The sequence below is a fragment of the Homo sapiens genome, chromosome 18, assembly GCF_000001405.40.
Source record: "Homo sapiens chromosome 18, GRCh38.p14 Primary Assembly".
In the NCBI taxonomy this organism is placed as follows: domain Eukaryota; kingdom Metazoa; phylum Chordata; class Mammalia; order Primates; family Hominidae; genus Homo; species Homo sapiens.
The window spans coordinates 44926921-44944433 of NC_000018.10; the positions used below are offsets into that span (position 1 = coordinate 44926921).

Here is a 17513-nt window from a genome sequence, read left to right on the forward strand (position 1 = left end):
CAAAGTGTATGGGCTTGCCGGGTGCCCAGAGGCTTTATGAGGGTGCTTTTCACATGTCTCCTGATGGAAGGGCTACTGTCAGGGAAAGTAGGAGGGGTAGCTTGAGATTGGAGACAGGAGACTGTGGCTCAAGTTCTGGCCCTGATTATCCATTTGAGTTTAAGCAATCCATTAGTCTTTTAAGACTTGATCTCTTCATCTGTAAAATAGGGTCTCCAACGTCCTTCACAACTAAGATTTCATATATTTACAAAAGCACCATGTCTCGTCTATAGTGCCACCGAATGTATATGTTTGTTTAATGAATGATTCTCTGATGAAGAGAGTCAGATGCCTCAGGCTATGACCTAATGTAGCTCTGCAGCCTACATTCAACCTTCACTGTCACCATTCCATGACAGCAACTGCCCACAGACAGGCGCCAGTGCTCATCATTGAAAATATGTGATTCATCTTGTCCCCATGACTCTATAGCATGTCAGCACCCTCACCCCAAAGCACTGCTTCAAGAAATATACAATGTCTAGCTTTTTATATTTTGATAGAGGAAAAGACAAAACTCTCTAAGAAAAGGGGATAAGGTGTGTCCATTTCACAACTCCTGGATAACTGATGAACAATCTTAAGGTATCTATACTCCAGGAAGGCAGAGAAGATTGAGGCTGAGCTATTTGGCCCGAAATAACTGCAGAATCACAGCCAGTGAGTGTGCCCAATCAAAATGTGGCAGTAACCAGAGCCAGGTCTGGGCTGGCCTCCTCTTCAAAGCAGTTATTGTCACTGTGGTTATCAGTGACCTCTCCCAGACCTGGCATCACCGATCAGGAGTTTGAACTAGAACTGTTGCCAAAAGGGATGTGGGGATGACTAGGGTTAAATGGTGCAGCATGCTGTACCCCTGTTAGTGGGTAACTGCATTTATGATGGGTGTCAATACTAGTAATTAATTTTTAAAAGGAGACTAGTAATACCTGACATTTGTTGAACACTTCCAATGTGTTCTGTGATGACATTATATATATAATTATACTTTAAGTTCTAGGGTACATATGCACAATGTGCAGCTTTGTTACATATGTATACATGTGCCATGTTGGTGTGCTGCATCCATTAACTCGTCATTTACATTAGGTATATCTCCTAGTGCTATCCCTCACGCCTCACCCCACCCCACGACAGGCCCTGGTGTGTGATGTTCGCACCCTGTGTCCAAGTGTTCTCATTGTTCAATTCCCACCTATGGGGGAGAACATGCGGTGTTTGGTTTTCTGTCCTTGTGATAGTTTGCTCAGAATGATGGTTTCCAGCTTCATCCATGTCCCTACAAAGGACATGAACTCATTCTTTTTTATGGCTGTATAGTATTCCATGGTGTATATGTGCCACATTTTCTTAATCCAGTCTATCATTGATGGACATTTGGGTTGGTTCCAAGTCTTTGCTATTGTGAATAGTGCCACAATAAACATACATGTGCATGTGTCTATATAGCAGCATGATTTATAATCCTTTGGGTATATACCCAGTAATGGGATGGCAAGGTCAAATGGTATTTCTAGTTCTAGATCCTTGAGGAATTGCCACACTGTCTTCCACAATGGTTAAAATAGTTTACAGTCCCACCAACAGTGTAAAAGCATTCCTATTTCTCCACATCCTCTCCAGCACCTGTTGTTTCCTGACTTTTTAATGATTGCCATTCTAACTGGTGTGAGATGGTATCTCATTGTGGTTTTGATTTGCATTTCTCTGATGGCCAGTGATGATCAGCATGTTTTCATGTGTCTGCTGGCTGCATAAATGTCTTCTTTTGAGAAGTGTCTGTTCATAGCCTTTACCCACTTTTTGATGGGATTGTTTGATTTTTCCTTGTAAATTTGTTTAAGTTCTTTGTAGATTCTAGGTATTAGCCCTTTGTCAGATGGGTAGATTGTAAACATTTTCTCCCATTCTGTAGGTTGCCTGTTCACTCTGATGGTAGTTTCTTTTGCTGTGCAGAAGCTCTTTAGTTTAATTAGATCCCATTTGTCAATTTTGGCTTTTGTTGTTATTGCTCTTGGTGTTCTAGTCATGAAGTCCTTGCCCATGCCTATGTCGTGAATAGTATTGCCTAGGTTTTCTTCTAGGGTTTTTATGGCTTTAGGTCTAACATTTAAGTCTTTAATCCATCCGTCTTGAATTAATTTTTGTATAAGGTGTAAGGGAGGGATCCAGTTTCAGCTTTCTACATATGGCTAGCCAGTTTTCCCAGCACCATTTATTAAATAGGGAATCCTTTCCCCATTTCTTGTTTTTGTCAGGTTTGTCAAAGATCAGATGGTTGTAGATGTGTGGTATTATTTCCGAGGGCTCTACTCTGTTCCATTGGTCTATATCTCTGTTTTGGTAGCAGTACCATGCTGTTTTGGTTACTGTACCCTCGTAGTATAGTTTGAAGTCAGGTAGTGTGATGCCTCCAGCTTTGTTCTTTTGGCTTCGGATTGTCTTGGCAATGTGGGCTCTTTTTTGGTTCCATATGAACTTTAAAGTAGTTTTTTCCAATTCTGTGAAGAAAGTCATTGGTAGCTTGATGAGGATGGCATTGAATCTATAAATTACCTTGGGCAATATGGCCATTCTCACGATATTGATTCTTCCTACCCATGAGCATGGAATGTTCTTCCATCTGTTTGTATCCTCTTTTATTTCATTGAGCAGTGGTTTGTAGTTCTCCTTGAAGAGGTCCTTCACATCCCTTGTAAGTTGGATTCCTAGGTATTTTATTCCCTTTGAAGCAATTGTGAATGGGAGTTCACTCATGATTTGGCTCTCTGTTTGTCTGTTATTGGTATATAGGAATGCTTGTGATTTTTGCACATTGATTTTGTATCCTGAGACTTTGCTGAAGTTGCTTATCAGCTTAAGGAGATTTTGGGCTGAGATGATGGGGTTTTCTAGATATACAATCATGTCATCTGCAAACAGGGACAATTTGACTTTCTCTCTTCCTAATCAAATACACTTTATTTCTTTCTCTTGCCTGATTGCCCTGGCCAGAACTTCCAACACTGTGTTGAATAGGAGTGGTAAGAGAGGGCATCCTTGTCTTGTGCCAGTTTTCAAAAGGAATGCTTCCAGTTTTTGCCCATTCAGTATGATATTGGCTGTGGATTTATCATAAATAGCTCTTATTATTTGGAGATACGTCCCACCAATACCTAGTTTATTGAGAGTTTTTAGCATGAAGCGCTGTTGAATTTTGTCAAAGGCCTTTTCTGCATCTATTGAGATATTCATGTGGTTTTTGTCTTTGATTCTGTTTATATGCTGGATTATGTTTATGGATTTGCATATGTTGAACCAGCCTTGCATCCCAGGGATGAAGCCAACTTGATCGTGGTGGATAAGCTTTTTGATGTGCTGCTGGATTCGGTTTGCCAGTATTTTTTTGAGGATTTTTGCATCGATGTTCATCAGGGATATTGGTCTAAAATTCTCTTTTTTTGTTGTGTCTCTGCCAGGCTTTGGTATCAGGATGATGTTGGCCTCATAAAATGAATTAGGAAGGATTCACTCTTTTTCTATTGATTGGACTAGTTTCAGAAGGAATGGTACCAGTTCCTCTTTGTACCTCTGGTAGAATTCAGCTGTGAATCCATCTGGTCCTAGACTTTTTTTGATTGGTAGGCTATTAATTATTGCCTCAATTTCAGAACCTGTTATTGGTCTATTCAGGGATTCAACTTCTTCCTAGTTTAGTCTTGGGAGGGTGTATGTGTCCAGGAATTTATCCATTTCTTCTAGATTTTCTAGTTTATTTGCGTAGGGCTGTTTATAGTATTCTCTGATGGTAGTTTGTAATTCTGTGGGATTGGTGGTGATATCCCCTTTATCATTTTTTATTGTGTCTATTTGAGTCTTCTCTCTTTTCTTCTTTATTAGTCTTGCTAGCAGTCTATCAATTTTGTTGATCTTTAAAAAAAAAACTGCTCCTGGATTCATTGATTTTTTTGAAGAGTTTTTTGTGTCTCTATCTCCTTCAGTTCTGCTCTGATCTTAGTTATTTCTTGCCTTCTGCTAGCTTTTGAATGTATTTGCTCTTGCTTCTCTAGTTCTTTTAATTGTGATGTTAGGGTGTCAATTTTAGATCTTTCCTGCTTTCTCTTGTGGGCATTTAGTGCTATAAATTTCTCTCTGCACACTGCTTTAAATGTGTCCCAGAGATTATGGTATGTTGTGTCTTTGTTCTCATTGGTTTCAAAGAACATCTTTATTTCTGCCTTCATTTCATTATGTACCCAGTAGTCATTCAGGAGCAGGTTATTCAGTTTCCATGTAGTTGAGCGGTTTTGAGTGAGTTTCTTAATCCTGAGTTCTAGTTTGATTGCACTGTGGTCTGAGAGACAGTTTGTTATAATTTCTGTTCTTTTACATTTGCTGAGGAGTGCTTTACTTCCAACTGTGTGGTTAGTTTTGGAATAAGTGTGATGTGGTGCTGAGAAAAATGTATATTCTGTTGATTTGGGGTGGAGACTTCTGTACATGTCTATTAGGTCCACTTGGTGCAGAGCTGAGTTCAATTCCTGGATATCCTTGTTAACTTTTTGTCTCGTTGATCTGTCTAATGTTGACAGTGGGGTGTTAAAGTCTCCTATTTTTATTCTGTGGGAGTCTAAGTCTCTTTGTAGGTCTCTAAGGACTTGCTTTATGAAGCTGGGTGCTCCTGTATTGGGTGCATATATATTTAGGATAGTTAGCTCTTCTTGTTGAGTTGATCCCTTTACCATTATGCAATGGCCTTCTTTGTCTCTTTTGATCTTTGTTGGTTTAAACTCTGTTTTATTAGAGACTAGGATTGCAACCCCTGCTTTTTTTTGTTTTCCATTTGCTTGGTAGATCTTCCTCGATCCCTTCATTTTGAGCCTATATGTGTCTCTGCACGTGAGATGGGTCTCCTGAATATAGCACACTGATGGGTCTTGACTCTTTATCCAATTTGCCAGTCTGTGTCTTTTAATTGGAGAATTTAGCCCATTTACATTTAAGGTTAATATTGTTATGTGTGAATTTGATCCCGTCATTATGATGTTAGCTGCTTATTTTGCTTGTTAGTTGATGCAGTTTCTTCCTAGCATTGATGGTCTTTACAATTTGGCATGTTTTTGCAGTGGCTGGTACTGGTTGTTCCTTTCCATGTTTAGTGCTTCCTTCAGGAGCTCCTGTAAGGCAGGCCTGGTGGTGACAAAATCTCTCAGCATTTGTTTATTGTAAAGGATTTTATTTCTCCTTCACTTATGAGGCTTAGTTTGGATGGATATGAAATTCTGGATTGAAAATTCTTTTCTTTAAGAATGTTGAATATTGGTCCCCACTCTCTTCTGGCTTGTAGAGTTTCTGCTGAGAGATCCGCTGTTAGTCTGATGGGCTTCCCTTTGTGGGTAACCCGACCTTTATCTCTGGCTGCCCTTAACATTATTTCCTTCATTTCAACTTAGGTGAATCTGACAATTATGTGTCTTGGAGTTGCTCTTCTCGAGGAGGATCTTTGTGGCGTTCTCTGTATTTCCTGAATTTGAATGTTGGCCTCCCTCACTAGGTTGGGGAAGTTCTTCTGGATAATACCCTGAAGAGTGTTTTCCAACTTTGTTCCATTCTCCCCATCACTTTGAGGTACACCAATCAGATGTAGATTTGGTCTTTTCACATAGTCCCATATTTCTTGGAGGCTTTGTTCATTTCTTTTTACTCTTTTTTTTCTCTAAACTTCTCTTCTCGCTTCATTTCATTTATTTGATCTTCCATCACTGATACCCTTTCTTCCACTTGATCAAATCGGCTACTGAAGCTTGTGCATGCATCACGTAGTTCTCGTGCCATGGTCATTTAAGGACTCCTCAGGTCATTTAAGGACTTCTCTACACTGTTTATTCTAGTTAGCCATCTGTCTAATCTTTTTTCAAGGTTTTTAGCTTCTTTGCATTGGGTTTGAACATCCTCCTTTAGCTCAGAGAAGTTTGTTATTACCGATCATTTGAAGCCTTCTTCTCTCAGCTCGTCAAAGTCATTCTCTCTCCGGCTTTGTTCCGTTGCTCACAAGGAGCTGCATTCCTTTGGAGGAGAAGAGGTGCTCTGATTTTTAGAATTTTCAGCTTTTCAGTTGTGGTTTCTCCCCATCTTTGTGGTTTTATCTACCTTTGGTCTTTGATGATGGTGACGTACAGTTGGGGTTTTGGTGTGGGTGTCCTTTCTGTTTGTTAGTTTTCCTTCTAACAGTCAGGACCCTCAGCTGCAGGTCTGTTGGAGTTTGCTGAGGTCCCCTCCAGACCCTGTTTGCCTGGGTATCACCAGCGGAGGCTGCAGAACAGCAAATATTGCACAACGGCAGATGTTGCTGCCTGATCCTTCCTCTGGAAGCTTCATCTCAGAGGGGCACCCAGCCGTATGAGGTGTCAGTCGGCCCCTACTGGGAGGTGTCTCCCAGTTAGGCTACTCGGGGGTCAGGGACCCACTTGTGGAGGCGGTCTGTCCATTCTCAGATCTCAAACTCCATGCTGGAAGAACCACTCCTCTCTTCAAAGCTGTCAGACAGGGACGTTTAAGTCTGCAGAAGTTTCTGCTGCTTTTTGTTCAGCTATGCCCTGCCCTCAGAGGTGGAGTCTACTGAGGCAGGCAGGCGTCCTTGAGCTCCGTGGGCTCCACCCAGTTCGAGCTTCCTGGATGCTTTGTTTACCTACTCAAGCCTCAGCAATGGCAGACGCCCCTCCCCAGCCTTGCTGCAGCCTTGCAGTTTGATCTCAGACTGTTGTGCTAGCAGTGAGTGAGGCTCCGTGGGTGTGGTACCCTCCGAGCCAGGCACGGGATATAATCTCCTGGTGTGCCATTTGCTAAGGCTATTGGAAAAGCGCAGTATTAGGGTGGGAGTGTCCCAATTTTCCAGGTACTGTCTGTCATGGTTTCCCTTTGCTAGGAAAGGAAATTCCCCAACCCCTTATGCCTCCCAGGTGAGGCGATGCCCTGCCCTGCTCCATGGGCTGCACCCACTGTCTGACAAGCCCCAGTGAGATGAACCTGGTACCTCAGTTGGAAATGCAGAAATCACCCGTCTTCTGCGTCACTCATGCTGGGAGCTATAGAATGGAGCTGTTCCTATTCGGCCATCTTGGAACCTCCTGTGATAACATTTTTACCAACCTTGTCTTGTTTAATTCTTAACACAACCCCATCAGGTAGGTGCTGTTGTTTTCCCTTTTTTTTTTTTTTCTTTTTTTAGACTGAGTCTTGCTCTGTTGCCCAGGGTGGAGTGCAGTGGTGCAATCTCAGCTCACTGCAACCTCCACCTCCTAGGTTCAAGCGATTCTCCTGCCTCAGCCTCCCAAGTAGCTGAGATTACAGGTGCACATCAGCATGCCCAGCTAATTTTTGTATTTTTAATAGAGACGGGGTTTTGCCATGTTGGCCAGGCTGGTGTTGAACTCCTGACCTCAAGTGATCTGCCCTCCTCGGCCTCCCGAAGTGCTGGGATTACAGGTGTGAGCCACTGTGCCCAGCCTGTTTTCTCCATTTTTGAAGTAGAGAAGATAAGTAACGAGCCTCAGTTCTCATAGGTAGTAAGAGGCAAAGCTGGGATTCGAACTTGTTTTTCTGATTCCAGAGTTTCAATGCACTCCCAAGATTTCCCACTGTGTAGGAAACTCTAGTGTAACCCTGACCAGGCACCAGGCACTGGTCAAAGTGCTTTACATAGATTATTTGATTCACTTGTTGACCTCATCTTAAGGGTAACTATATTATGTTTCCTGTTTTACAGATAGGGAAAGTGGGACACAGAGAGGTAAAGCAACTTGCCCAAGGTCACACAGCTAGTAATATTTGGACTCAGCTCAGATTTGACCCCATTTGTGCTGGCTCAAGAGTCTGTGCTCCTAACTGCTGTACACTCCTGCCCCATTTCCTCTCAGAATAAAGACGGAAGACAGTCCACAAGTGACACATGCCACACTATCTTCAGCAGGAATCCTAGAGAAAGTTCAGGGGCACATATAGGAGATTCCAAAGGCAGTGGCCATGGGTTGACATGGGGACCCACATGACCACTGCACCTGAGGCATTGTGATGGGAAGCCATCAGGACATGAACTTGTTCTTGCAGCACTACAGGGAGGAGCGGCAATGAATCCAAGGCTCAGACTCCACCCACAAGGCCAGTCATCCTGGCTCTGCCCACCAGCCTCTGTGAGGTCACTTCTTTCAGAGGGGACTTACACTAAATGAGTGAGGCACCAAATGCTTGCAGTTCACAGTGTTCATGGGAAGCTTAAAAGCTGGAATTTTAGATGAATTCAGCATTTTCTTGACATTTTAGACTTGATTTATAATCAACGGTTATTTTAGCCCTAATGGCAAAAAACACCAGTTTGGCAGTAAAAAGCATTAATATAAAGGAAAAAAGGGAAACATGCGGTAAAGAGGAAAAGGATGCTTCTTTTCCTCTGCTCTTTCTTATCTATTTTTTTCTTTTTCCTCTAATACCCACAGGCTAGGTATAATCTTGGTGCATAATCTTGGAACCCTCTCCTGCTTCTGCCTGCATGACTGTCTCTCACTGGTCTCCCTGCACCCACTCCACCCTGAGACAAAGCTGAACAATTTCATTTCAGCTCTCCCATGTAGAAACCCTTGCATTACAGTGTTGGCCAAACTTGGCTGAAGTAAGAGGCTCTCTAGAAGTACCTGTTAAAAACACCAGAGTCCTGGGCCCCAACCCAGAACAATGACTCCACATGTGCAGAAGGGGAGCCTTGTGAGCTGTGTATTTAGAAGAGGCCACTGGTGATTCTTAACCATAAACAAGCATGGGAAATGACTTTTGGCCAGGTTAATGATCCTCTCTCCTCATTCATTTAACTTTCTCCAGGAGGCAGGCTTCTCAAATCCCTTGCCATGCATGCCCTGCCTTTCAAGGGGCTACAGGTTTTTACTGATAGGACATTCACACGTGAATGTTCCACCACACTAATTTTGCCCCTTCATTGTAAGATACCAATTCTCAAAGAGGAGACAAGAATGTGTTATGTTTCTTTCTTTTTTGAGAGGAGTAGCATGGAGAACAAAGCCTCAGTGAAGAATAGCTAAAACATTTTTAAAACTGAAATGTTGCTCCCTGTAATTCTTCTCCATCAGGATGAGCCTGCAGTTGTCCCTCAATGCCTTCCTACTGCAGAATGTATCTGAATCAGGACTGCACCCTAATTTTGGCTTCATCCCTCAGAAGCCCAGCCCAGGGCTCCCAGGACCCCACTGGAGACCTTCAGATGCCTGAGCAGGGAGGGCAGAGGCTGCTGCTGGAAAAGACAGAGCCGTGGTGCTGTAGTGGGATCCCGGGGCAGCGGGTCCTCGGCACTTGAACAGTGAAATCTGGAGGCCACCAAGTCCCTTCTGGAAGGATGCAGCAGTGCCACTGCATTCCAATTAGCCCCTCCAAGCCTGCCCCATGGCTGTCTCTGAAGTGGTCACCTTGCAGCTCCACACTAATTTACCTCTCTCTTTCAGTAAGTTTTCTGAAGTCGGCTTCCAGCTCTACTGCTGAGAGGCTGTTTTTTTATTTGTAAGTCACATAATTGAAAATCCAGTTTTTATAATTTTTTCCCCTACCAGTACACATGTCTCGACCACGGGGAAGCCCCTGGAAGCCTGCTAAAAACAGCCATAGGAGGGGGTGCTGGGAAGTCTCTTCTAGGGGCACGTTTGCTCTCAGTTGCAGTGACCTGGTCCTCGGATGCCAGCCAACACAGAAAGGGATGCCTGTCTCCTCTGCTTGCCAGAGCCATCCAAGGACACGCAGATAGACTCCATCTCTAAACAGGAAAGTGATATCTAAGAGGTAGAACAAGGTAATCTGTGCACAAGTGAGCTCTCTATGACTGCATATTGTCAGGTAGCCCCGAGGGAAGCTGTACAGGAAGATCTCAAGCTCTGAACATTAGGCTAGGTTGAAAGCAGAAAGTGGTGAGAGACAGCAGCCAAGAGGGTGACCAGAATGAATGATTGCTAGAAATGCCCAACTGAGTTTAAATGAGGTACTCCCTGGTTAATGTCTCCACCCTAGACCCTATTTCTGCTGGATGTTGTTTTCAGAAAAGCAGTTCACTGAAAAGTATGGGAATAAAATAGCTATATTTATATAATGCCTACTATGGGCCAAGCACTGTGTTAAATACTTGACAGTCTTCAACTTCTAATGCTTTCAACTCCCCCTTTAAGATAGGCACTACTGGCCGGGCGCGGTGGCTCACGCCTGTAATCCCAGCACTTTGGGAGGCCGAGGCGGGCGGATCACGAGGTTAGGAGATCGAGACCATCCCGGCTAAAACGGTGAAACCCCGTCTCTACTAAAAATACAAAAAAAAATTAGCCGGGCGTAGTGGCGGGCGCCTGTAGTCCCAGCTACTTGGGAGGCTGAGGCAGGAGAATGGCGTGAACCCGGGAGGCGGAGCTTGCAGTGAGCCGAGATCCCGCCACTGCACTCCAGCCTGGGCGACAGAGCGAGACTCCGTCTCAAAAAAAAAAAAAAAAAAAAAAGATAGGCACTACTGCTAGTTTCTAGACAAGGAAGCTCAGGTGTAAGAGGTCAGGTGACGTGTCTAGTGAATGGTATGTAGAGCTGAGATTCCACCCCAGGCACAGAACCTGAGCCTCCCCACCACACTGCAGCCTTTCAGCTACTCCTTAGAGCCCAGGAACAGTGAGTCTGGTCAAGGTCTTAGGAGAAGACCGGCACATCTCAGATGCTAGTCCTTGAGCTCCACCTGGGAGCTTATTAGAAATGCACGCTTGCAGCCCCATCTCAGACTTCCAAAATCAATCTGCGTTTCGGCAGATTCCCCAGGTGACTCTTGTGCGCTCTGAATATGAGCAGTGCTGGGTTCCAATTCTCACTCCACGGTTTGGTCTGGCTCTTTCCTCTACACTCCAATCTTCCTCTCTTTCTCCCCCGTCCCATAGTTGAAGTGTGGAGGGGGAAGAGAACAATGAACAGACTTTAAAATATAAAATGATCTCTCATGTTCTTATCACTTCGACACATTCCTCTCAGCTCCAGATATTGTTTCGTCCTCAGCAAAGTCCTGATCTGTGCTGACAGGGAAAGGGACTCCACTAATTGGAAGCAGGGAGTGGGGGAGCAGGGGAGGGAGGTGAGGGGGCAGACACCATGGTCAGGACCACTCTGGAGCAAGCCACGTCCTGGGTCCCTGCGTTCCTCTGTGCCACCACTCCCTGCTGTCTGGCCCCACAACCCTGTTGGCTTCCCTCCTCTGGGGAGGATAACAAAGGCTGGCTCCCCCACCAGGAGCGTCCTGAGACGTCCCTGAACGTGACAGTCCCTCCAGCCACTGCCGATGTTATTAATTTTTAAAACAAACTTCCTGATTGAGGTTCTGGCTGCCTCTAAATTGTCTCTACAAGGAGACTGTGTACTAATTAACCCATAGAAACAATCAATGATGTACCTTTTTCAAGTTTCAGGGTGATTAGAATATGAAAATGAAGAGCACAATGGTGCAGATGTTTTAAAATCACAGCAGACAGCAATTAGTGACACGGAAACCAGCTGCTTATCTCTCCAGATAAAGCCTCTTAATAGGGAATTACACTGGAGGAGCCATTACCCAGATGGATCTCACATGATTTACAGAGGAGGCGGGGCAGTGTTAACTTTGATTTGTGAGCCAGGTTCTTGTCAAGCTTCCTTCCTTACCTCGGAGGAAGGTGAATTTGTGGCTGGGGTGGAGACACGGGCTTCACCTTTCTCCCTGGTGGCCCAGGTTAGGGAAAACACCAGGATGAGGAGAGGAGAGAACAATGGTGTTTACAGAAGCCACCAGCACCTGTCTTCTTGATTCGGGCTCTATTGTTTTGAGATCAACTCAGTCAGCTATCTCTGCACAGAGGGGAGAGTGAGGATCTGGGAAGGGGAAATAGTGAGTGGCTTGCGGGCCGCCCTATGTTTCACTGGAAAGAAAAGGCCCCTGCTTTCTGCTGCTTGGCTTTGGAGTGTGTGCATGTGTGTGTGTGTGTGTGTGTGTGTCTGTGTCTCTGTGCCTGTGTGTGTGTGTGTGATATAGGGAGTTCATAGTCATCATTTTTGAATGGATTTCTCATTTTTGATTATTTTAACATGATTGAGGTTAAATGTACATATACTGAAATGTACAGATCTTAAATATGAAGTTCAAAGAGTATCAACAAATGTACACAGCTGTGTGACTCACACTCCTATCAAGACACAAAGTACATCCATAACTCACTGGAAACTCCCTCATGCCCATGCCAGCCCTTCCCAGCCCCGGTCCCCACCACACTCTACCCTGGAAGCAACCACTGTTCTGACACCTATCATAATAGATTTGTTTTGCCTGATCTACACCTTTATATAAACAGAATGGTACAGTGTGGATCTTGGGGTCTAGCTTCTTTGGCTCAGCATGATTATGTGTATGTGTGTGGCTTATCCATGTGGTGGGGTGTGTCCATGGTTTGTTCCTTTTATAGATGAGTTTGTCTTTTCTGCCTTTGATTGGCACCTGAACCGCTTCAAGGTGCTAACAACTCTGAATAAGCTGCTATAAAGTTTTTATAAAAGTCTAATTGTGGATGTATGTTTTCTTTTCTCTTGGGTAAATATATGAGTGGAATTGCTGGGTCTCAGGATTAACTTTAAAAGACATGCTGAGAGATCTTCCAAAGTGATTTTTACTGTTTTATGCTCCCTCCAACAACGTATGATAGTGTCAGTTGCTCCAGATCCTTGTCAACGTTTGTTATTTTCAGTCTCTTTCATTTTAGCCATCCCAGTGAATGTGCAATGGTATCTGATTGTGGTTTTAATTGACATTTCTTTGATGGCAGATAATGTTTGAAGACATTGATATGTGTTCACTGGTCATTCCTGCTTGTTACCGGCACAGCATATTTTGACAAACGTATTTTGCAGTTGTTGGGTGAGGGTAAGTTGGTTGATAGTACAGATGAAACCTCTGGTGGGTTTTTTCTGATTTTTTAGGAAATTTGTTCGGCAATTACTGAGAGAGGAGTGTTAAAATACCTTTAATTGTGGAATCATCTCTTAGTTATTGTTTTATATCTTTGAAGTTCTATGGTGAGGGACAAACAAATTTAGGATGATTGTCTCTTCTTGGTAAATTGACTCTATATCATTTTGAAATGTCCATAATTATCTCTGGGAATGCTTTTTACTCGGAAGCCTATTTTTCCTTACATTAATAAAATCATTACAGCATTCTTATGTTTAGTGTTTGTGTGGTATGTCTTGTTCCCTCCTTTTACTTTTAAGCTGTCTTTGTATTTAAAGTGTATCTCCTATAAGCAGCATATAGTTCAGTTTTTCTTTTTTATTCACTCTGATAAGATGCCTTTTATTTTCTTGCAGTATATTATTTTTGGTATCTCTAGAGTTAATATAATTACTGATACTGTTGGGTTTAAGTTTACTATGTTGCTTGTATTTTCTGTTTTTCCCATTTTCATTCTTTTTTTCTGCTCTCTTTTAGAGTCATCAAGCATTTTTTTGTAATCCATATGTTTCCTTGTATTGACATTTTAGATATGCAACTTTTTTTAATACTGATTGCTGTAGAGATTACAATGCGTACCCTTAAAATATTACAGTCTACTTTGAACTAATATTACATCCCTTCACATATAAGAAGATTACGAATGTATACCTCTATATGTACGCTCTTATTCTTTGTTTTATTGTTGTGGTGGAGTTTATTTCTACAAATGTCATAAATCCTAAAATCTTATTTCTGCTTTAAGAAGTCACTTGTCTTTTAACAATCTTAACAAGAATAGAATATTTTGTATACACCAATATATTTACTATTTTCAGCACTTTTCATTCATTCATGTAGATCTCAGTTTCCATCTGGTGTCATTTCCTTTTGGCCTAAAGAACTTTCTTTTACATATCTTGTAATTCAGGTCTGCGAGAAATGAATTCCCTCGGTTTTTATTTATCTGAATATCTTTATTTTGTCATCATTTTTAAAGAATATTTTCGCTGGATATATAAATTTGACTGTTTTGTTTTCATTTCAGTACTTTAAAGATGTTGGCTCATTGTCTTCTTGTTTATATTCTAATTAATGAGAAGTCAGACTTTTTTTTTTTTTTTTTTTTTTTGAGATGGAGTCATACTTTGTTGCCAGGCTGGAGTGCAGTGGCGCCATCTCACCTCACTGCAACCTCCACTTCCTGGTTTCAAGCAATTCTTGTGCCTCACCCTCCAAAGTAGCTGGGATTACAGGCATGCACCACAACACCCTGCTAAATTTTTTTTGTATTTTTAGTAGACACGGGGTTTTACCATGTTGGGCCAGGCTGGTCTTGAACTCCTGACCACCTCAAGTGATCCATCCCTTGGCTTCCCAAAGTGCTGGGATTACAGGTGTGACCAGACATTATTTTTGCACCCCTATAAATAATCTCTTTCTTCTCTGATGGCTTTTGAATTTTTTCTCTTTATTTTTGGTTTTGATCAATTTGTCTACAGTGTGCTTAGATGTGGTTTTCATGGGTGTTTTTATTCTGCTTGGGATTCGTTGAGCTTCTTAGCTATGAGAATATGTATACACTAATCTTTTGGTATTCTCATTATCAGTCTGTTAGACCTCTTGATATTGCTCCATAGATCAGTGAGGTACTGTTTTTCCATTATTATAATTAATTCTTGTTATTATTTTCCCTTCTGTATTTCAGTTTGGATAGTTTCTACTGCTTTCTCTTCATGTTTACTCAACTTCTCTTTTGCAATGTCCTAGAATCTGTTAAGCAACTCCAGTGAGTTTTTTTTTTTGTTTGAGATATTGTATTTTTCAGATTTAGAATTTTCATTTTATTATTTTAGTGTAGTCGTTGCGATCCTGAGACTTCCCATATGTTCATCAATTATGTGTATCTTTTCTTTTAAATACTTGCACATTTTCATAGTAGCTGTTTGGAGAGCCTTGGATTGGATTTTACCCTCCTGATTGTGGGTCCCATTTGCCTGCTTCTTTGCCTGTCTAGTAAGCTTTTTATTGTGTTCTGGATATTGTGGATGCTATATAAACTGATTTTGTTGTTTTTCTTTAAAGAGTTTTGACTTTTGTTCTGATAAGCAGTTAATTTATTGGCAGATCAGCTTTATGCTATCGAGAGTTCTTTTCAGAATTTGTTAGTGAGGGACTCGAGTAGCTTTTATTCTAGAGCTGGAATAATTCTGCTCTTAAGGAGTACCATTTCTGAGATCTCAGCTGAATGCCTGGGATATTCATTGAAGCCTCCCCACTCTGTCTGGTGAGAAATCCAACCTTGCCCAATACTATATGACCTAAGGACTCTATGTTTAGCTGATAGCCCCCAGTAGCTAATCTCTGCTAGGCTTTGTGAAATCTTACCTTCAAGTGAAGACTAAAATTTTTCCAGATACTTAAGATAATCCCTATGAAGGTTTCTAGAGTTCCTTTCTACATAGCTCCCCTTTCTCAGGTATCCTAACCTGCAAATTCCATTTCCCTCAGGAGCCCCAAACTCTGATCTTGGTTTTGTCTTCCCAGTGAAGTCACAGCTATCTGGGCTTTTCTTCCCTATGCCCAGATTTAGAAAGTACCCCCAGGCAGAAAACTAGGGCTACTCTGGAACCTCGTGAGTTTCCCTTCTCTAGAATCTCAGCCTGTGTTGTCTATTGTCTAGTGCCTGAAAACAATTATTTCATATATTTTGTTTAGTTAGTTTTATATTTATCTCCATGGAAAGGTTACGTCTACTACCTATTACTCTATCATGGCTGAAATCAAGTCAGTGATTATTTTGAGTTATGCAGAATTATTTACTACTCAAAGAGGTATATGGTAGGGCCCTCTGTCGTGTATGAGCTGTTACCACCTTCAGTAAAAGAAGTGCTCTAGTATCATCCACGGCCCCTAAATAGCAAATAAGAATGAATTTTATGGGAATAACATCCAGGTGAATTCCCAGGGTGACAGAATATGAGGATGGGTTCAGTTTACATATTTAATTGGAAACTTCATATTCGTTTAGAGGCTGGATAGCTTCTCTGTGTCCATTGGAATCAAAGAATCATAAGATCATGGTACTAAAAAGATACGTAGTGACATTCTTCTCACAACTACCAGTAGCAAATGCAGGAATGAACTGGGCTAAGGAGAGATAAGCTTTGGGACAATTTCAGCAAAAGATGGAATGTGCATTCCTCCTGTTCATGAGCATAAATGGTAATTTTTCAGTTTTGTTTTAAATTAAATGACAGAACCGTTTCACTCTCTCTATCTCTGTCTCTCAAATGAAATCCCTTGTTAGGCTGGTCTGTTCTGTTGGGGGTTTAGGGGTTAAAAGGAAGGTCTGAAACATTTTTCTTGCCCCATTCACTGGCTACAGTTCAGAAATGTCTTTGCAAAATCCTAGGACTTTGTGAAACACATTTGAAAGCCACTGAGCTGGAACATCTCTTGATAATATCAGAGCCTCTCTAGTCCTTAACCCAGACCCTGTCTTTGATATAATCCAGTGGTTCTCAACTCTGTCTGCTCATTGGGATCACCTGAGAGCTTTGAAAAAGTACTACTGTTCAGGTTCCACGTCCAGAATGTTGATTTAATCACGCTGGGTCAGATCTCAGGTATGTTGATCTTTACAAAACTTCCTAGCTGATGCTAACATACAGCCAGAGTTGGGAACCTTTAATCTAGTCACACAGCTTGTGGTTGCATTCTTTGTCTCCCACACTCAGCTCCTGCTGAGGTCTGAGCACTTGCTTCTAGCTTCAGTGATGGCCTGCCAGGATTCCCCAGGGGTTTGGAATCCCACAGTGGGAGGTCATGAACACCAGCATTCCTGGTCCTTTCTTTTTTCTTTTTTTTTCTTTTTTTTTTTTGAGACAGAGTCTCTCTCTGTTGCCCAGGCTGCAGTACAGTGGTACGATCTCAGCTCATGGCAACCTCCACTTCCTGGGTTCAAGTGATTCTACTGCCTCAGCCTCCCGAGTAGCTGGGATTACAGGTGCACGCCATGATACCCATCTAATTTTTGTATTTTTGTAGAGACAGGATTTTGTCTTGTTGTCTGGGCTGGTCTTGAATTTCTGACCTCAAGTGATCCACTCATCTCAGCCTCCCAAAGTGCTGGGATTACACACATGAGCCACTGCGCCTGGCCTGTCTGGTCCTTTCTTATCCACTCAAATCATTGATTCTTCAGTCCACCTCACCTTCACTTGGAATACCTACACAGGGAATTATGTTAGAGTTTCATACTATGTAAATTACGGAGAGTTCAGAGAGCAAAACAGGAATGCTCGGTGTTGCTAACTTGTATATCCTAACAGGCCTATGGTGGTTGGTTCTGCATGTTTATCACCAAAAATTGCTGTGAATGTTATAGCAACCACAGAAGGGCCCTACTCCAGAGAAGAAATGTGGTGTTAAAACATTAGATTAGTGGTTTTAAAACTTGGTT

General features: G+C 42.3%; 1 protein-coding gene across 18 annotated transcripts in view, besides 1 other annotated feature; it reads left to right on the forward strand.

Annotated features, from left to right (window-relative positions):
- Positions 1–17513, forward strand: part of SETBP1 (SET binding protein 1) — a 388438-nt gene that overhangs the window by 246848 nt on the left and 124077 nt on the right. The window lies entirely within an intron of this gene.
- Positions 16416–17025: an enhancer, noted in NCBI's record as "OCT4-NANOG hESC enhancer chr18:42523301-42523910 (GRCh37/hg19 assembly coordinates)". NCBI's record gives its function as "activates a minimal SCP1, AML or CMV promoter by ChIP-STARR-seq in naive H9 embryonic stem cells {active_cell/tissue: H9 hESC(naive)}" and the evidence as "EXISTENCE:reporter gene assay evidence [ECO:0000049][PMID:30033119]".